Here is a 22356-nt window from a genome sequence, read left to right as displayed (position 1 = left end):
TGAGGGTGTTAAATCCTCAGTAATTCTAGGCGGCCATGCCTGTGAGCAAAGCACACTGAAGAAATCCTTAAAGCTAAGAAATAGAAAGCCATGGTGGTTTGAGGCAGGAAACTATCACTGCTCATGGATGCTGTTCATCTCAGCTGAAAGTGAACTTAGGCAAGGGCTGGGGGGCTAAGGATGAGCATCAACAGCATCTACTGCAATGTGTAATTATGGATTTGCTTTCATTTTTATTCAAGAATATTTTCCCAAGTGGTTTGTTGGGGCTTCATTTTTTAAATGTGTATGCTTTTAGATTTTAACACGAGTATTCATTGCACATTAAAATACACATTCTCAGCTGTAATATGTAAGTTTTTCTGTAAATGGAAGAAAGGACAACAGATGAATCTTTAGGAAATTTTACATTTCAGAACAATAAACACTATTGTTTTTAGCATAGCTGTTTTACGGATTTCTTTTATTCATTCAATTAGTATCTACTCCAGTGTGTTATTGTTCAAATCATGTAACATTTTTATATTTCTTTAAGTTTTTTATTTTGAAATAGTTTCAGAATCAGAAAAATTGAAAGAAAAGTACAGAAAACTCCTGTATAAACTTTATCCAGATGTAAGGGTCTCTTTCTGAACTCAATTCTGTGTGGTTAATCTGTTTGTCTATCCTTTCGCAAATATCACACCAGTTTGATGATTAGAGCCTTATGATAAATTTTGAAGTCGCAAAGTATTAAAATATATATATAACAAAAAGTCTTCCAATTTTGTCATTTTTTTAAGAAATGCTTTTGCTTTTAGTTCCTTTGGTTTTCATATATATAATATACACACATATATAACATATATGTGTATAATATACACATATATAACATATATGTGTATAATATACACATATATAACATATATGTGTATAATATACACATATATAACATATATGTGTATAATATACACATATATAACATATATGTGTATAATATACACATATATAACATATATGTGTATAATATACACATATATAATATACACACATACAATATACACATATATAATATATATACAATATATACATATAATATATACATATACAATATATATACATATATAATATATACATATATAATATATATACATATATAATATATACATATATAATATATACATATACAATATATACATATATAATATATACATATACAATATATACATATATAATATATACATATACAATATATACATATATAATATATACATATACAATATATACATATATAATATATACATATACAATATATACATATATAATATATACATATACAATATATATACATATATAATATATACATATACTATATATACATATATAATATATACATATACTATATACACATATATAATATATACATATACTATATACACATATATAATATATATACATATATATCTCTCATATATTTTCGAGACAGGGTCTCAGCATGTTGCTCAGGTTGATCTGAAACTTCTGGGTTCAGACAATTCTCCCGCCTTGGCCTCCCGAAGTGCTGGGATTACAGGTATAAGCCACTGTGCCCAGCCTGATTTTCATATACATTTTAACAGAAGTATTTAAAGCTATAAATTTCCCTCTAAGCCTGCTTTAGCTGTATTTGACAAATTTTAATATGTTGTACTCCATTATTCATTTTTAAATATCTTCAAACGTCTCTCTGATTTTTTCTTTGACCTTTAGATTGCTTAGAAAACAGCTGATTAATTTCCCAACATTTAGGGTTTTTATAGGTTTTAGGGTTTTTATAGATTTTATTGTTTTCTATTTTTGATGTAATTTTATTATAATTAGAGAACATACTCTGTGTGATTTCAATCCTTTTAAATTTATTGAAATTTTTACTGCACAGCTAACCTTCATGTTATATTGGTGAACATACCATTGACAGCTGAGAATATGTAATCTGCATTTGTTGGTTAAAACATTCTATAAACATCAATCAAGTCAAGGTGGTTGATAGCATTGTTCTGGTATTCTATGTTTGTTTTAGTTCATTTTGTGTTACTGTAAGGGAATACCTGAGACTGGGTCATTTATTGTTTTTATAGAAAGGTTTATTTAGTTCATAGTTCTGCAAGCTGAGAAGTTCATGGTCATGGTCCCGGCTTCTGGTGAGGGCTTTCGTGCTGCATCACAACGTAACAGATCGGGGGTGGACACATTCACAGACAAAATCTGAGGGGTGTCCTGGCTTTATAACAACTTCCAGTCTTGAGAAAACCAATCCATTCCCATAAGAACTAACCCAGTCTCCCACGAGCAAGAACCCACTACCTCGAAAGCAACATCAAGCAATTTGTGAGGTACCTGCCCCCATAATCCAAACACCTCCCAGTAAGCTCCGCTTCCCAAAATCATCACATTAGGGATTAATTTTCAACATGAATTTTGGAGGGGACAAATATTCAAACCACAGCAATGACTTTATTGATTTCTTTGTCTAGTTGTTCTATTAATTGCTAAGAGAGGCATGTTGCAGTCTCGTGTTTTCATGGAATTGACTATTTCTCCCTTTAATTCTATCAATTTTTGATTAGCATATTTTGAAACCCATTATTAGACTTAAACACATTTGAGATGGCTATCGCTTCCTGAAAAACAAAGTATTTTATCATTACAAAATATCTTTATCTCTGGTAATGCTCTTTGTCTTGAAGTCTTTTTTATCTGATATGAATTCCACTCCACTCAACTATCATTACTATTTGCACAGTATATCTTATTCTATCCATTTCTTTTTGATCTGTCTATAGCTTTATAATTAGAGCACTTTTGTATACAGTACATAGTTAAGTATTGCTTATTATCCAGTTTGATCATCTATGCAGTTTAATTGGAGTGTTTAGTTCATTAATATTTAGTGCACTGTTGATATGATTGGAATTAGGCCTATCATTTTATTATTTATTCACCATCTGTCCTTTTAAGTTCCTGCTCCCTAGTTCCTCTATTCTTGCCTTATTTTAGATTCTTTGAATTTTTTTAAAAAATTATTTTATTTTTCTGTCAGCTTTTTAGCTTTACTGCTTTGCATATTATTCATTGGACACTATGGGGATTACGATACACACTATAAACTTTTCAGTCCTTTTACAATCAATATTGTATCTCTTCCTATATTCTACGATACAGTTGGTATACGTATTACATCTGTAGACTATATATGCCCCCACAAGAATTTTGTGTAATCAGTACTTTAAACAGACCTATGTAGTGTAAAAGAAAGTAAGAAGAAACTTATTTTATATTTACCCAGGTATCTACCATCTCTAATATTTTTTTCCTGAAAATATAAATTTACATCCAGTATTATTTTCTTTCAGTCAGAAGAACTTCATTAGCATTTTTAGTGCATGTCTGCTGTTGACAAATTCTCTTGATTGTTTTTTATTTGAAAATGCTTTTTGTTTGCCTTCATTTTAAAGGATATTTTCACTGAATATAGAATTTGGAGTTGAAAGCTTGTATTTTTCTTTCAGCAGTTTAAAGAAGTTATTCCATTTCCTTCTGGTCCCCAGAGTTCCTCATGAGAAATCAGTGATTATTCAGAATGTTGTCCTATTGTATGTAGAATGTCATTTTTCTCTAGCTGGTTTAGATATTTTCTTTTTATACTGAGCCCACTTCAAGTACTTTTCCGCCAATTCTCACTCTTCTTTTCTTCTGGGACTCAAATTACTCATATATTCGATACTTTGATATTTTCCATGGTTTCATGTGGGTTTTTAAAATTCATTTCTGTTTAAATCATTATCTCTTTGGCCTACAGCTTGGATAATTTCAAGGTCACGAACTCTTTCTTCTGTTGTATACAGCATGCTGTCAAGCACATACAGTGATTTTTAAATTTCAGATATTGTATTTTTTACTTATGTAATTTCCATTTATTTCACTTTTTATGGTTTATAATTCTCTGGTGAGATTTCCAATATTTTCGTTTATTTTAAGTATATATTCCCCTACCCTTGAGCATAATTGTAATAGCTGCTTTAAAATGCTTATCTGTTAATATGTGGACTTCTGTCCTGTGGTTCTTTAAGCCAGTAGGATGATGGGTTTTTATCCATTTTTGACAACCTGACAGGACAACAACTGGGACTTACCCTCAAGCTAAAAGCCTTAAGAATGTGGGACTCACTCAGTTCTCTTCCTTGGTTTAGCTTTTAGTGCTTCTCTAGTATCTGCCTGCTTTTATTTGCTCCCTGGTGCCTTAAAGTAGTTGTTTTTTAATATTTTGTCTCAAGGATATTTTTTATTATTTGTGAAAGTGCTGAGTTTATAGGAGCTAATATATCATTACCAATTAATCACTTTTGACCATATTTTTTGTGATTTTCTAAAATTGGGGATGTCATGCAACTTATATAATGGAATTTCTGTGATTATCAAAAACTTTCAAATTTGAGTAATGTATATGAATAAAATAATTTCATTGTTACTTGTTTGAAACTGCCCTTTTACTTACAGACATTGTGCCAACAACTAGGGACTATTAGAAGTTTACAGAAGAAACTGAGTGAAAACCACCTATCTGTCTAACAGATATACTTGCCTTTTTTTTCTTTTTTTTCCTCACTACCTATCTGTATAATCGATATACTTGCCTTTTTTTTCCTCACTACATTTTTTATTTTACCTTTTTTTAATTCTTCAGTCTCAATTCACCCTCACCTTAAATAGACAGGTATCCCATCCTTTATTCTCCAGAAAACAAAATCCTAGGTGTTAAATTTGAGGCACTTTATACTGACACCTCTCCACTGCCTCTACTGAAATACACAGCAAATATTATCAACTTCTACTTCTCTCTTCAAAATAATACTTGCATTTGTTTTCATTCCCAAAGCAAGACTCACAGATGCTGAACATGTAGTATGTGCTCAATAAATACTCAGGTGAATGAAAGAATCTCATCCATCATTACGCCTCTGTACATTTTTCTTGAGCCACTACTTCAGCCAGAAATTCCTTTGCTAAGAGACAAAACAGTCTTAATTGAATATTCTGCACGGTCTTGGCTCTATATCTCAAACTCCAAATTATGTTTAACATTTCTCCTAGTAGATATTTAATTCTAAATATGATTGATAATAAACTAGAAACTAAAAGGCTCAAAGCTTCTTTAGCAGACATTTATTTTCCTCCCTCTATCCTCTCACAGCTCTTGGTTCATTTAATGTCAGCCAAGGAGGCTTATCCATGGATGATAGAAGGTCTATCTAGTTCCCTGAGCAAATGGGCAGATAAACTGATAAGAGAAGTGATCCTTAAGTATTTCAGAGGTGAAAGTTCTCTGAGACCTTATTCAACTTGGAGTTACTTGTGCTGAGTTTTAAACCCCTCATCTGGAAGAGTCCATTCCATTATATAGTGTGGAAAGTGATTACTTTCCAGAAACCTGTTCTTTGCTGTCAGTTACTGAATTATTTGCAGCAGGTGGAAGTTTCTTTGTTCTCATCTGACTAGGAGGCACCCCACCCTGACAAATGGCTTCTAATAGCCAGGACCAATTATCCAGGCTTCTGTCTCTCAATCATTTGCACTCTGGGTCCCCTGCTTGGATGCACACATCTACTTTTTTATACAATTCATTTTTCTTTAGCTATTATCTCATCTCAATTAATACTGGATGGTTTTAGATTATCCTCTTCTATGCCATAATGTTGAATTAGAGAGAGAGAGAGAGAGAGATGATAGATAGATGACAGATAGATAGATAGATAGATGTTTATGTATTTAACTAAAGTAATATTTTGTGCTTGCTCACCTTCATACACACCAGTCTGTGCTCATATACAATATTTCTACAGCACTTTGAATAGGAAATTGAATTGATACAAAGGCTTGTGAGATTAGAATTGGAAAAAACAACTTTAAAGTTCATATGGAACCAAAAAAGAGCCTGCATTGCCAAGTCAATCCTAAGCAAAAAGAACAAAGCTGGAGGCATCATGCTACCTGACTTCAAACTATACTACAAGGCTACAGTAACCAAAACAGCATGGTACTGGTACCAAAACAGAGATATAGGTCAATGGAACAGAACAAAGCCCTCAGAAATAATGCCGCATATCTACAACTATCTGATCTTTGACAAACATGACAAAAACAAGAAATGGGGAAAGGATTCCCTATTTAATAAATGGTGCTGGGAAAACTGGCTAGCCATATGTAGAAAGCTGAAACTGGATCCCTTCCTTACACCTTATACAAAAATTAATTCAAGATGGATTAAAGACTTAAATGTTAGATCTAAAACCATAAAAACCCTAGAAGAAAACCTAGGCAATACCATTCAGGACATAGGCATGGGCAAGGACTTCATGTCTAAAACACCAAAAGCAATGGCAACAAAAGCCAAAATTGACAAATTAGATCTAATTAAACTAAAGAGCTTCTTCACAGCAAAAGAAACTACCATCAGAGTGAACAGGCAACCTACAAAATGAGAGAAAATTTTTGCAATCTACTCATCTGACAAAGGGCTAATATCCAGAATCTACAAAGAACTCCAACAAATTTACAAGAAAAAAACAAACAACCCCATCAGAAAGTGGGCAAAGGATATGAACAGACACTTCTCAAAAGAAGACATTTATGAAGCCAAAAGACACGTGAAAAAATGCTCATCATCACTGGCCATCAGAGAAATGCAAATCAAAACCACAATGAGATACCATCTCACACCAGTTAGAATGGTGATCATTAAAAAGTCAGGAAACAACAGGTGCTGGAGAGGATGTGGAGAAATAGGAACACTTTTACACTGTTGGTGGGACTGTAAACTAGTTCAACCATTGTGGAAGTCAGTGTGGCGATTCCTCAGGGATCTAGAACTAGAAATACCATTTGATCCAGCGATCCCATTACTGGGTATATACCCAAAGGATTACAAATCATGCTGCTATAAAGACACATGCACACGTATGTTTATTGCGGCACTATTCACAATACCAAAGACTTGGAACCAACCCAAATGCCCAACAATGATCGACTGGATTGAGAAAATGTGGCACATATACACCATGGAATACTATGCAGCCATAAGAAATGATGAGTTCATGTCCTTTGTAGGGACATGGATGAAGCTGGAAACCGTCATTCTCAGCAAACTATCACAAGGACAAAAAAAAACAAACACGGCATGTTCTCACTCATAGGTGGGAATTGAACAATGAGAACACATGGACACAGGAAGGGGAACATCACACACCGGGGCCTATTGTGGGGTGGTGGGAGCGGGGAGGGATAGCATTTGGAGATATACCTAATGTTAAATGATGAGTTACTGGGTGCAGCACACCAACATGGCACATGTATACATATGTAACTAACCTGCACGTTGTGCACATGTACCCTAGAACTTAAAGTATAATTTTAAAAAAGATTAAAAACTTTTATAAGGAAAAAAAAAAGGCTTGTGAGATGTAAATCTTATTCATAGTAAAAGGACTCCTGCACCTGAAGATTGTCCTATAAACCATCTCTACAACATGCATTAAATTCATGTTTTTCTGTTCAGACTCTGACCCAGGTTTTCTAATGTCATGCAGTGTCTTTGCCTCTAGATGCTCCAAATGTCCATCTATACTTCTCACATCTCTACACTCCAGAGGTTTAAATTCAGATCTCTTTACACTATAATTTTTAAGTGTTTTAAGATCCCTTCAAAAACTTTCTCTACAGTCTCCTTCTTCCTCAAAGAGTATATATGTGATCAAACCAACCTCCAAACTCAGCTTCATTTGGATGAATGATTAAGACTTTTTCATTTGTGTATTTTGTTCCTATTCATTCACAAAATTCTCTTAATTTTTCTTTTGTTTTGTGTTGTTGTTGTTGTCCTTCATATGAATTGAAACAGTCACAAAATAACCAGTCGACTCAGGCAATTTTAAGAACAATCACTGAAGCAATATGTGGTAATGACAGATAAAACAGAACAGGTAAACTAGATGTTCCCTATTTAGCCAATTATTTGTAGATACAAACATAATTCCCTATTCACATATGAAGTCTTTGTTTATTTGCATTAAGGCTGCATGGCCATATCTGTTCAAATTTGCAGAGTGTCATATTTTATTATGATGATCATTGTAAAATAGATTGCTAATATCTTCCCCGTACCCAAAATCTGTCAGAGATATTTTAGGTATCACTGCACCACTAACTCAAGCTGTTCATATAGAAGGAAGGTAATCAGAATTGAGAGAAAAAAATAGAAAAGAAAATAAAAACCATTTCCCAAAAGTGCAGGAGCACATGAAAACTTGTCTAGCTAATCATCAGGAGTGTAAAATGTTTATTTCTCAGTTAATAAGCACCACCTGTGTTTATAAGAAGTCTCTGATGACTTGTTTTGTCTCTTGCAAAGAACATAAAACGTTCTCAGATGGATTTCATAGAGTATATGCAGATTATTAATACATTTTCAAATCCCACCATGACTGATGCAGCCTTCATTGTCTTCTTTCCACTCCCTACTACACACTTTCTTCTTTAATTTTTTTATTGAAATGATATAGTATAAAAAATCATTGACTACATATAAATCAATTGTCTGTGACATGTTACAGGGAAAAAGAAAACATCAAGATTGCCAATAACAGGCACTCAGTCTCATAAAACTTGTAATCAACTTCTAAGCCAAGGCGTAAACTGTAATATATTGCCACAAACCTATAACAATAATAAACTATTTGAATTGCACCTTCACATTCTCAGTCGTTAATAACAAATAAGCATGAAAAAATTTTGACATTCATTCATTTTAATGGGTGTCTGCTTGTTTATCAGATTGTGTCATCTGGCATTACAAAATACAGCCTTATCCTTGGAAGGGTATGTAGAGAGAAAGTGTCTAAGCTTTGGGTACTAACTACAGACAATAAGGACTCCATTTGTTGGAAAATTTTAAGAGTAACTTATTCTTTATCTCAGTTCAAAGATTATACCAAGCCTTTCCTTAGTCCTAAGAGAAAATAAAAAAGCAGATCCTCCATCTGATTAATTTTTATTATTAGGACTCCTCCAGGCATCTATTGCTGCAGAAAAGCCACTTCAAAATGGTGGCTTGAAACAATAACAATCACTTATTTTGCTTATAAATCTGTTAGCTAGCCGGGCTCCACTTGACAGTTTTCATCTGAGGTCTCTCATACAGTGGCAATCAGTCTGTGGCTGGGTCCGAGGGCTGAGGTTGTCTTGAGAGCTTTTCATTCACGTTTAGTGCCTGGGCTGGGAGGATTCAAACAGCTGGGTGCTGGAACAGCTGGAGTTCCTTGGGCGGCTCTCTCTGCCTCTCATCTCTCCATGTGGTCTCTGCATGTGCTGGCCTCAGGGTAGCCAGACTTCTCACATGGTGACTGAAAGCTCAGAGCAATTGTCCTGAGAGGGAGCAGGTGGAAGCAGAATCACCTTTTATGACCTAACATCACAAATCACACTTTGGCCGCTCTCTACTAGCCGAGACTGTCACACAAGCCCAGGTTCAAGGGGAAGAAATATACATGCCACCTCTTGAGGAGGAGTCAATGAGGTTCTTAGATAACATGGGAAACAGTGTGGTCAATTATTTTTGCAAAATACACTCTGCCACCTAGAGTTCTGTGGCACACGTCCACACTCCAATGCACACACACTCACACACAATAAACAGAATTCTTGCTTGATAATGCAGCGAAATACCATGAGGCTAATAGTGCAAAGTTTCCTGAAATGCTCCCAAAAGCTCCCATAGTTGTGCTGTAGTCACTTTGTAAATGACCATGTTAGACAAATACAGTTGGGTTCATGAAAAGATGTCTTAGTGCCTTCAATACACCAAGAGGCAGAAAGAATCTCAGAAGCCTCGTTGCTCAAAATAGGGCTTATGGACCAGCAGCATCGCGTCACTGGAGCGCTGGTTAGGAATGCGGATGCTCAGGCCCCACATGGACCTACTGAGCTAGCATCATCCCCAGGTGATCTGCATGCACATCAAGCATTGTCTTACAGGACTGTGCAGTATGGAGTGTTCGCCAAACAAATGTGTCTGTGGAGTCCTACGCTGGGCACTTCCTGGGATTATGGGGAATTCACTTTGGGATCACTGTGATATAAGTGTTCATAGGGACCTGCAGCCTCCCCCACACCATGCCCGACTGTCTAAAACTTCTCCCAAGAGAACTTGATGGCTCAGATCTCAGGCCTGAGAGGAGTGAAAAAAGGCTCCTGGCACCTAACCACCCAGCTGTCTAAACTCTTCTCGCCCTCCCCACAGTCCACTGGGGCTTAGGAAGGTGGGCTCTTTTCATAGCTTCCTTTCCTATTTGGTTGGAATTTCCCCTACACCATAATCTAATTTATACTTCATTCTTCACTGTACCCCAGTGCTCAGGGCAAGTCACATAGGAGGGAGTCCACCAGAATCTGTGGAACGAAAGAATAAGTGGGCTGGATGCAGTGGCTCACACCAGTAATCCTAACACTTTGGGAGGCCAAGGCAGGAAGTTTGCTTGAGGCCAGACGTTCAAGACCAGCCTGGGCAACATAGCAAGACTCTATCTCTACAAAAATTTTTTAAAAAACCAGCCATGCGTGGTAGTGCATGCCTGTAGTCCCAGCTACTCGGGAGGCTGAGGCAGGAGAATTGCTTGAGCCCAGGAGATCAAGGATCTAGGGAGCCGTGATCACACCACTGCACTCCAGCCTGGATGACAAAGTGAGTCCCTGTCTCCAAGAAAAAAAACGTGGGGGTGAGTGTGGTGGCTCATGCCTGTAATCCCACTGCTTTGGGAGGTCAAGGCAAGAGGATCGCTTGAGACCAGGAGTTCGAGACCAGCCTGTGCAACATGGCGAGACCCTCTATGTACAGAAATTTTTTAAGAAACATTAGCCAGGCATGGTGGCACATGCCTGTAATGCTAGCTACTTGGGAGGCTGAGGCAGAAGGATCACTTGAGCCCAGGAGGTGGAGGCTGAAGTGAGCTATGATCACACTGCTGTACTTCAGCCTGGGAGACAGAGGAAGACCCTGCGTCAAAAAAAAAAAAAAAAAAAAAAAAGAATAAGTGAATGAATGTTAGCAGACGGGGAACAGAGGAAGAAACCAATTCATAGATAGCTATGTGAACATGGGTCAGGAAGAGCAGTCACTACATCTGTTTCCTTTTCTTTTTCAAGTGTACCTGTGCTCTCCCTTGTCTTACTCAGATGTGCCTTCCCTATGTCAGTTGCTCAGCAGAGGACCCAGGACCATTGAAAAAATGACAGTAAGTTTTATTTAGAAGCCTCACTGAAAACTATAGATGGAGGCCTACAGCTTGGGGGCAGTTCTGTCAGACTGCTCCAACACAGTACTACAACTCACAGTTTATATACAGGTGGTGAAGATTCAGTAAGTGCAAATCTCATGAAAGTTTGGGTGTAAGAGTACATCTGGTTATAGATTACTAAAGTACATTTGGTTATAGATTGTGGATGCATAATCACTAACCCTGTCAGATGTTATCTTATGTGTAGGAAAAGGCAAGGCGAGGTCATTTATCTTTTAAGGAATGTAATGACTCAGGCAAGAGACGTGGGGAGGCTGTGTGCTCTATTCTGTTTTGTCTTCAAGGCATTCTTCCAGAGAGCTGCATTTCATCAGAGTTGGGGGTTCAAGCAGAAATGAGCAAGCGTGGCTTCTTATATTGGTTACTTTGTCTCACAATAGTCAAGTCTGTATATATACTGGCAGTCTTTTCCCAATTTCCATATTCCTCTTCTATTTTCTCCTCCTCCTCCTGTAAGCGTATAGCCCTCAAGGTTGTTTTGCTTATTGTGAAGAAATGGGAAAGAGGAGGAGGGAGAAGGATGTCAGGGGTTTGAGGGATTTGGGAGTGATTAAGAAACAGCAACACATAACAAGCTTGGTGCTTGGACAGGGTTGCATGGGGGAGAAAGTCCCTCATAGAAGAAGTCTGTTCAGAGGCTAAAAAGCAGAGGCCGCTGCTCAGAATGGGGGAGCATAGGCAACTCTCCAGGAGAAGAGGGGAGAAGAGGGGCTCAGATGTCTAGTGATGTGGCACAGCAGCACAGAGAGCAGTCTCTGGGTCAGGGAGCTCAGAGGGCTCATTGGGAAGAATAGCAGCTTGGGATTTTATCATGGGAAGGCCGTGTATTATCAATAGATGACAGCTGTTGGGTGAGGTTATGCAGGTATGCAAATCAGGCAGTTTCTAAATGGCTTCAAAATTTGCTTGTTTGAGCTATTTTAAAAATAACTGATGTGTACAAATTTGGATTGGGCACTAGTAAGCATTTGAGCTAATGGGTCTCAGCCCACAGTCAAAAAATTGACAACTGTGGGGCCAGTTCGCAGAGGCTATCAATGTTCACATATATGAGAGAGGAGGACGGTGTCAAACATTCCCCAGCACTGCACTGCGAGGAGGAGAAAGCAGAGAAGAAGTTGAAGTGGCTAAGGGGTTTTTCTTGGATGCTAGGATTAGCTAATTACGCCTCAAGTAACCCAGCATGGCCCACCCTGTACTATCCTGTAGTGGCAATTCAAGAATCACTGGAATCAATCAAACCATGGAGAAACACAAATTGCTCTCATTTACAGATTCTTTGGGAATGGAAGTACCGTACTAAATGCTATCAAAATACCTACGCTTGTCAAAAAGATGTCATTATTTTACATTTGTCTGATGCTTTACTATAAAATCGAAAATGTCAACCACAATCCTTCTTGCTTAAGAAAATACTGTGTATATGGAAATGGCGTGTACGGTTATGATGACACTATTGACTGGATTTTGGTTATGCATTTTTTTTCAATAAGGAAATCATTGTTATGGAGTTTGTGTTTCTTTTTTTCTTTTTTTTTTTTTTTTTACAGAAGGCAGTATCATTAGTCGGGCACTCAGACTGCATAACCCTTCTTACAACAGGCTCAGTCACAAGGAACCATGTAGATTGGAAAAAGAAACACATTACTGCACACCCATGAAAGGGGTCTTTGTAAAAGCACAGGGGGCAAGGAGGTGCATCTAGATCAATCAGCCTCAAACACAGGGTGAGATATTATCAAACCAGATTTCACTCAAGCTAACAGCTCTTAGCTCTCAAGTTCAACTGTTTTCTAATACATCAAATTTTCCATTAAAAGGCAAACTATTGGTAGCATTTTTGGTGGGGGAGATTATGGAAAATAATTTTAGAATGTTCATGTCCCCTTCCATGGGACAGAGGGAAGGACCTTTCATAGCCAGGTAGCAATTCTAGAAAAATGAAGCCTCTCATGTTGGAAGAAAAATAAACCAATTTTTAATACTCAAGAATACAATGGCTGTTTCCATTTTCAACCTGGTGGTTTATTTACACTTTCGGGACCATTACAGATCTCCTGCGAGGCAGATGAAGTGGATTTCATTTCTGCTCTTACGATCCATAATAGCTGCACCACAAGAAATAGCAATTCCCCTTCTACATCAAGTTATGCTAAGTGAGGATATAACATAAGTGACTTCACATGAACATGGGAATTACATAAATGAGTTGTTTAGGTAAAAACCACTGCTAAGTTAAGCTGCCTATTTTTTCACTCATGAGGGTTGAATACAGTGACAAACTCATTTGTGGATGTTGGGCAATTTGATCCAAGGTGACCTGTTACTGCCTCTGCTCAGAAATACATATTCGTTACAAACTAATTCTCCTTTTACCAAACTCATGACTTTGAGAACAATAATCCTACCTAGCAGCTTGCAAAATCTGTTAGGGCTGGACAAGGTACATTTTTTTTTTTTTTGAGACAGTCTTATTTGGAAAGATCAGTGTAAGAATTCAAAGCCTACTGGTTAAAACCATTAGTCTATTCCTGGACTGGTCCTTACTCACTAAGCCATCCAAGGTGCAACTTAGACATCCTGTGCCCAGGATCCATTCCAATGCCCTATAGACATTCAAATCTACAGCATTTCTTTGAAGTAAGACCTCAAATTCCTCAGGCCAAAACCTTTCCACACAGTTAACTTTGCAAAGAAGCTTACTTATATCAAGGGTGGAAAACATTTTCTTACTTAAATTCTCTCAAGATAAATAATTAGGTCTCTAATTAAAGGCTTGAAGCATTTCTGATTTTACACGAAGACATACATCAGCACAAGAAAACATGTTAGCACGTTCAAAAATAACACCATCATTTAATATCTATATTAAACCTTCTCTTAAAAGCAAGAAACAAGTAGGAGATTGAGTCAGAATTGTTGCACTGTGTCAGCCCCTTCTCAGCCTGTGTCCTGAATTCTCACCTATCATTCTAGCTCTCCTCTAAGTGCAAACATCCAAGCATGTGAAAGTTTTGCGTGCAGGTGTGTTTCCTGTACCTGCCTCAGTGTGAAGCCACCCTGTTTCTGGCCCCGAGGAGAAGTTCTCTTTCCTTGCAGCAACATAATGTTTTAAAAAGCTGACTTTCAAACCTCTTAGTGAATTTTTTAATGGATTAAATTCATCATGTCACCAGCTGCTGTGCAGCTAATAGAGCCATAAAACACTGTATTAAAGGATTACCCATGCAAAATTTCCTCTGGTGCTAATGTGAATTTTAATACTTTTAACATTTAGTTGAGACGGGAATGTCCAAGAACAGCTTGTCCAATAGGTTGTTCTATGAAATTAAGTTCCTCGTCTCATCAGAAATGCCAGGACTCCATTAAGTTAAAGTTTTACAGAGAGGCTACGATGATTCACTGTGCAGCATTTGTGAAGAGAGAGACAGCATCTGCTTCTACATTAATGCTATCTAAAAAAAAAAGAAGAAGAAGGGAGGAGAAAAGCAAAACAGTCATGAATCCCGTAAGTTCACGGAGACTGGGCTGAACAGAAGAAAACGCTAACTTCAGATTTGTGGAAGGTCAATTTATAAAAACGGAAAACAATGCTAATAATTGGGAACACCTAAATTTATATCCTCTTACAAGTCACTTGTCAGAAGGTCAAAAAGTCTCAAAGACACACAAAGTGGCGATTATACAAAATCACATGGATATCAAACTTTGCATAAGAAGAAATGTGATTATCTATATCTGGGCAACAGAAGAAAGAACCGAGGGAAAAATGTAGCTGATAGGGAGTGAAAAGAATCATAGGGAACGATGGCGGAAATTATGTAGTTCAAGTTCTTCATTCTACAGGGGATAATGCTGAGACCCTGAGAAGTTGTAGCTTGCCCAAAGGTTACACAGCTAGTCACATGCAGATTGGAGAATAAATCGCAGGTTTCCTGACACCCAGCCCGAGACACCATGTGTCTCCCTTACGTATCTATAAATATATACATATCGATTTTATTTATGTGAAATGGCTTACATATTAAGTAACAATAAAGAAGCAAGGAGTAGACAATAATAAGATCAGGATCCTCCAGCGATATGTTGATAAATAAGCTAACAAAGCTGTATATATTGCGTGTCGTTTCCAAAATAGTTCTAAATCAGACCACTTTCAGAAGACTTAACTTGAAATGTTACATTCTTTGTTTCATCTCCTTCCCCTTTTTTCCTGAGTGACCCTTCAAATCCAGATTGCAACTCTTACCTGTGCTTCTGAAACATTACAGCATTTCATTATTTGCTAAAGAAATTGCATCTTAAGTGAGGTTACTAAAAACAATGCAATCTTTCTTGAATGTTGTTCAGTAATTGGGCTAAATGTAATCATCGACGGAGGCTGCAAATTCTCATCACAATTAAAGTGGACATTAGAGTGTGTACCATGCCCTATTTGAAAATACAACCCAAGGATAATTGGTTTTCATGGAAATTCTCCAAAGCCAATGTTCTTCACCCCGACTGAATTTTGTCCACAGCTCCATATTTTGTACTCTGTATGTATTGCTGTTCTGAGAGCCTGTCATTTCTTATCAGAATGAGAAAGGCTAAAGAGATAATATTTCAATAACATACTGGCCTGATCATAAAATAACTCAATGGAAATGTGTAACTGCCTCAGGCAGCTCGGCAGGGTACTCAGCAGTCAGATCATTTCTATTCTGGGTTTTTTTTTTATGGTTACATTTTCTGTTATATCAGACATCCCCTCAAGTCTTAGTTATGCTTTTATTCAAAAGGGAGAACCACAGTATAAAGACCTACAAAACTTATTATGATATATTACTCTAAAGAAATAAAAGTCGCTGCCACAGTGGCATATTGATAAGGACAGGCCCGCCTCTTTCACTGACCTTTCTCCATCATCTCCCCCACCCGGAGTTGAGGCTGAGCTTCTCAGTTGCTAGGCAACAGGGGTCACAGTTTTCAGGTCTTCAACCTAGTCAAAAAGAAGACATGATCTTCAGAGAAAAGGCGGATACTCGGCAGCAGTGAGAATTTCAATACATACGGAGGTTTCTGATTTTTTTTTATCATGCTAAAGGCTGAAATGGAGAAATTTTGACTTGTCAAAAGATTGTGGGAACAGGTTTTTAAGTTCTGGTGATTAGAATCTATCACTGAAACAATATGAAGAAAATACAGTCAAGCCTCTTTTTGATGAACGCACTGACATGTGGCTTAGGATTTTAGCTGCCAGGAGAATGATGATCAAGACACGTCAAAAACAGATCTTGGGAGATGAATTTGGGGGCTGATTTGGAGATGAGGGTTTTTTGGTTTGGGTTTTTTGGTTTGGTTTTAACATTCCTTCTCAGACATTACTGCATTCTGGCATGTTTAAGAGCAGTGCTGCAGGCAACACAGCCGCTCCTGAAGGTCAGCTGCAAGAAAGCTCATTCCCCACCCCTTTTCCTAGCACCAAGTCAGCACTCCCTTTAAACTTTAATAAAGGGCAGGAGAAAGAACCTATTCCTCAACCGGAGAGGAACACGGCACCACTATGTAATTGCATTTGACAGTACATTCTGTAGGTATGTATTTAACTTCAATTATTATTACTCTAATAACACTTCAATCATGGCAACTTTTTAAACACAGAATTTGGTAGATTTAAAAAAGTGTGAGAGTTAGTAAGAGGGCTTTCGAATTTCCCAATTCATGGTCTACTTGATTATTTTTGTCCTAGAAAAAGAGCAGCAATTTTTATTTCACCTTATTTCAATACCCACTCACTCTGTAAATAATAGCAGTATCTTGGAGAAGAGAAATAATTATTAACTCCGAAAGTTTTAATTTGCTCAATGTGACGTTTTGAGGGAGAGAATAAAAAAGTGTGTGTGAGTGTGTGTGTGTGTGTCTGTGTGTGTGTTGGGAGAAGATAGCTAATTATAAACTCCAGATGAATAATTTGAAATCTGGACTTTAGAAAGCCAGATATAACGGTTTCCTGGTTTCTTTCACTCTGGGCCATATCTAAGTTCCTATAGCTCCCACCTGATTTGAGCCCTGGCCGCAAGATAGACATCCCAGCTCATATAAATAGCAATGAGATAGCCAGGGGGCAAGTCATGTGCCTGGAGACTGTGGCTGTCAGATAACTCTAATGATTTCTTTGGCCCTTCAGGGTGAAAAATTTACTTCATACTTTTTTTGTCTAATATTTGCCATTTTCCTTTCCCTGAAGATAACTGTCATTTTTAGATATGTCTGCTGCCTTTTCCAAGTTGTCAGCATCAAAAGAACACAAAACGAGGCAGTTGGAAAAGATGTAGACCCCGTTCCACTGAGTGAGAAGCACAGAGATGCTTTAAAAGGCAGAATTGGGCCGGGCATGGTGGCTCATGCCTGTAATCCCAGTACTTTGGGAGGCCGAGGCGGGTGGATCACCTGAGGGCAGGAGTTCGAGACCAGCTCGGCCAACATGGTGAAACCCCGTCTCTACTAAAAATATAAAAATTAGCCAGGTGTGGTGGTGCATGTCTGTAATTCCAGCTACTCCAGAGGCTGAGGCAGGAGAATCGCTTGAACCTGGGAGGCAGAGGTTGCAGTGAGCCAAGACTGCACCACGGCACTCCAGCCTGGGCAACAGGAACAAAACTCCATCTCAAAAATAAATAAATATAAAGGCAGAATGGGTGAAATACTTCTCAGCTATTGCTAAGCGTCCTCCTCAGATCTGTTCTGCACCAGGTCCTTGCTGACTCACAGATCCTGCTTTTTGTTCAGTCTTGGCCATGACTTCCAAAACTCACAGGCCACAGAGGGCAGGAAGGGGAAACATGAGTTTCCTTCAGAGTGGCCTCCTGCAATCATAAGGACCATCTTGGATGGTGTTTCTAGGCTTGTGTGGACAGTAGACCGGAACCTGTCCAGAAACTGGCTGGCTGGTCTACAAGGAGGCAAGCACAAAGTCAAGAGTAAGAATTAATTTTTTTATTATTATTATTCTTTTTTTCAGACAGAGTCTCACTCTGTCGCCCAGGTTGCAGTACAGGGGTGCAATCTCGGCTCACTTCAACCTCCACCTCCTGGGTTCAAACAGTTCTTCTGCTTCAGCCACCCGAGTAGCTGGGACTACAGGCATGCGCCACCACACCCAGCTAATTTTTGTATTTTTATCAGAGACGGGGGTTTCACTGTGTTGGCCAGGCTGGTCTCGACCTCATGACCTCAAATGATCCACCAGCCTCAGCCTCCCAAAGTGCTGGGATTACAGGCTTGAGCCACCGCACCTGACCAAGAATAAGAATTTGGAAATTTTCACCACCATTGGATAGAGTCACTATATGCCTGTTGAATCTAATCAAAAAAAAAAGAGATCCTATGTATTGTATGTCTCTTTCTATGAAACTCTTCCAGTAATTTTTATAATATATTATATTTTATCAAAGTATGGGCCCACAATGGATTGGATCTTTTTTTTTTTAAAGTTTTTTTAAACGCTGGCCCTGGAAAAGGACTGTCTTGAGCTGAGGTTATTGTATTCAACTTGCAATGGTCCTAGTAAAATTACGATGAACCAGGTCTCTATACAGAAAACTCTTTAAAGTAGAGAGGCAGGAGCCCACTGAGGGTCCCAGGGGGAATCTCCTGCCCGAAATCTGTTTGCCTTAAATGTCACGATGCCTGCAATTTTTTTTCTTTGAGCTAAGCATTTCTTCTCTGAGTTCTTTTATTTATTTATTTATTTATTTATTTATTTATTTATTTATTTATTTTTTGAGACAGAGTCTCACTCTGTCGCCCAGGCTGGAGTGCAGTGGCGTGATCTCAGCTCACTGCAACCTCTACCTCCCGGGTTCAAGCAATTCTCCTGCCTCAGCCTCCCAAGTTCTTGAAAGGCAAATCAATGTAGATACATTGATATCTGTGTGGGTTCGCCATTAGACTGATTTTCACTGAGTGTAGAAGGCAGACATTGACCACTGTTGCAAGAGGAAAAAAAGCAAATAACAATAATAATAAATAAAATAATTTGGGTTAAGTGTAGGGTTTGGTGGAGAATCCAAGAATCTTCGTTCTGACAGGGGTCCTTATGCCTCCACACAGCTTTTACTTCTCTATCTATCTCTGCTGCCTTCCACGAGGTTGCATCTCCCCACATTCCTCCCCGGGGAGTGGTCCTGACTTCTCCAGAATCTTTCTTACCCTGCTCCAGCCAAGAAAGAACCAGAAGTTCCTTCAGAGGAGGACAGCTAGAGTTTGCCCTTCCTTGGACTTTGTCCTTAGATCCATTCTCCACATTCCCCCTGCTCTGTCTGTACCTCAGGGATGGTGGTTTCCAGAATGCTTGTCCTCTTGGCTTCCACTTAGATTTGTTCAATGGGAGGTGCTCACAGAAGACTGGAGCACAAGACAAAGGGGGAACCAAAGATTCTCTCCTTCTCACTCTACTTTGATGGACACCTCCAGCAGTAGCTACATCTGTCTAGGATTCCAGCTTCTACCAAGCAGTTCCCATTGTGGTTCCAGAACCATCCAATGGAGCCAGCTTCTGGGATCTGGTAACACCATCTTTCCCTGTGTCTCTTCAGCCCTTCCTCACATTGCAAGTCTCTGAGCGCCCCCATAGTCCTGTCTGCCTCCTCAGTTCTTCTAATACCTATGTTATCAATACACTAAATTAAACTCTCTCTGTTTGAAATGCCCAAATTGATAGTTATTCTCTTGACTTGATATTCTTATGGGTAAGAGACCTAGTTGTATGGGCAACTATGTAACTAATATCTAGGCACACAGCTTGGGCAAAGAGATTTCTGACAGAGAATAGAATATGTGCATGTCAATCATGACTACAAGTTTATCACTGGACTGGAAGCTCCTTGGGCATCAGAATCCTGCCTTGTTTATCCTTGTATCCCCAACACATAATTGGTGCATATTGGAAGTTATTTGAAAATTTTGACTTTTTAAAAAGCAGAAAAATGAATGTTTTATTTGAATACTTTTAAATAAAGAAAAAAAATGTGTTCATTCTGTACTGTGCAGAAGTAAGACTACAGTCCTTCATTTAATCTTTTTAAACCACAGAAATCCCTGGACACTGGTTTTTAGACCAATCATTAGCCTAATATTTTGGTGATATAATGAGCCCAAAGGAACATAATTTTCCAATTAAAAAAAACTCAATCAGATTTGCCTTCAAAAAGGAAGAAATTGTTTCAGTAGAATTCCTTGCTGAAACCCAGATTCAGCTAGTCAGTTTCTACCTGGGCAAAGTGTACTTACTTGTAAGAGGTAAATTATCACATCGTAAAACTGTCTGGTGGGGTTCTAACTGTTTGAGGTGTTAAATACCTATGTCACCTTCAAAGAAAACTACTTTTGACATTTACTTCTTAGAAGAAAGGCAGGAGCTAAGGTAGGCGGGACTGGCCTCAGGCAAAATTGGGAAGTCTGGTAGATTGTTCAGTTACCTGCCTCCCTTCTTAACCCCACTCATCCCCTTTCACCTCGCTCTCTCTAGCGCGCGCTCTCTTTCTCTCTCTGCTGCTGGTGCTGCTGCGTCTCTCCTCACCTCCTTTAGAGTCTTCATCTACACTGAGCTCCAAGTAACTGATAATAGCTTAGAAATGGCCGTGTCTGGAATACGTACATTTATACAGTAAACAATTAGATCGGTGTTCCTCAAATTTTAGCAACCATTAGAATCACCTGGAAGACTATTAAAATACAGATTGTAAGGCACCACCCTAGATCCCCTTTAGGCAGTCTGGGTGGGGCACCAGGATTTGCATTTTTTTAACAAATTCCCACATGATGTTGCTGCCACTGTATGGGGACCACCCTTGAGAACCACTGAATTTGTGGTGATACCTACCAGGTTGGCTGAGGCAGGTTCAAGTCCTTCTGAATATGGGGCTGCCTGTTTCCACATTTCCCAAACAAGGACAAGCATCAGAATTTAAAGAATAAACCAACAAATAACCAAACTTTTTTTTTTTTTTTTTTTGAGACAGAGTCTCACTCTTGTCACCCAGGCTGGAGTGCAGTCGCATGATCTCAGCTCACTGCAACCTCCGCCTGCTGAGTTCAGGCAATTCTCCTGTCTCAGCCTCCTGAGTAGCTGGGATTACAGGTGCTCACTACCACACCCGGCTAATTTTTATATTTTTAGTAGAGACGGGATTTCACCATATTGGTCAGTCTAGTCTCGAACTCCTGACCTCAGGTGATCCACCCACCTTGGCCTCTCAAAGTGCTGGGATTACAGGCGTGAGCCACCACACCCAGCCCCAAACATTTTTTAAAAATACAAATTCCCCTGGCTGTACCTCCAAGATTCTAATTTGGTAGGCCCATGGTGGCACCTAGAAATTTTTTTAAAGCACCTGATCTGATGCTGAGGCTCAGGCCTTTGCGAACTCTCTGTTGAGAGGCCAGTGTGCAGGGAAAGACCATTACCTCTTACATCAGGCAAACCAGAGTTCCACCCCAGCCCCATTGCTCACCACCAGTGGAACTCTAGATAAATTACTGAAACTCCATAAGCCTCCATGTGTTCACTCACAAAATGGAATCTTTAGTAGCCTTAAAACGACCTCATTTTGTCAGCTCCCACCCTGCCTATCGAGAGGGCAACCTCTAACTCTGGATTCCATAAGGGAGAAAGAAAGAAAGACACTATGCTTGTCAATGACATTTTTAATTTGGGGCTCTCAACAAAATTTCAAGGTAGGGGGACAAATCTTCCTAATCTTTTTTAGTTGCAAAATAAACATTCTGCTCATCAGTTGCTTCTTTGCAAAGTGGTGGCTGCTTGGACAATTAGCATAACCCATCTCATTGTAGATTCCTTAAGTAGAGTAGCAGCATGTTTGTAGATGACTTTCAACAACAGGCTCTGATCCTGTCATTTTTCCCGCAACTCCTAGCTATATGATTTAATTGGGGAAAAATCTACCATCAAAAAATCTTAGAAAAAGGAATGTCAGATTAATTAATAAAT

General features: G+C 38.5%; 1 long non-coding RNA gene across 4 annotated transcripts in view; it reads right to left on the bottom strand.

The window, feature by feature from the left end:
• The window catches only part of LOC105374910 (uncharacterized), a 102802-nt gene that overhangs the window by 5708 nt on the left and 74738 nt on the right, over positions 1-22356 (bottom strand). For 3 of the 4 annotated variants that reach the window (XR_926441.3, XR_926440.3, XR_926443.3), the window contains 2 exons: positions 16259-16344; positions 9046-9435 (listed from right to left, as the gene is read on the bottom strand). This is a non-coding gene — a long non-coding RNA (uncharacterized LOC105374910). Of the gene's footprint in view, positions 1-9045; positions 9436-16258; positions 16345-22356 lie in introns of those variants that run through there. The other variant, XR_001743950.2, reaches the window with a different exon arrangement.

Source organism: Homo sapiens, chromosome 6 (assembly GCF_000001405.40).
Source record: "Homo sapiens chromosome 6, GRCh38.p14 Primary Assembly".
NCBI lineage: Eukaryota > Metazoa > Chordata > Mammalia > Primates > Hominidae > Homo > Homo sapiens.
The sequence above is the reverse complement of the archived record's forward strand: the minus strand, read 5'-3'. Positions and strand labels throughout refer to the sequence as shown.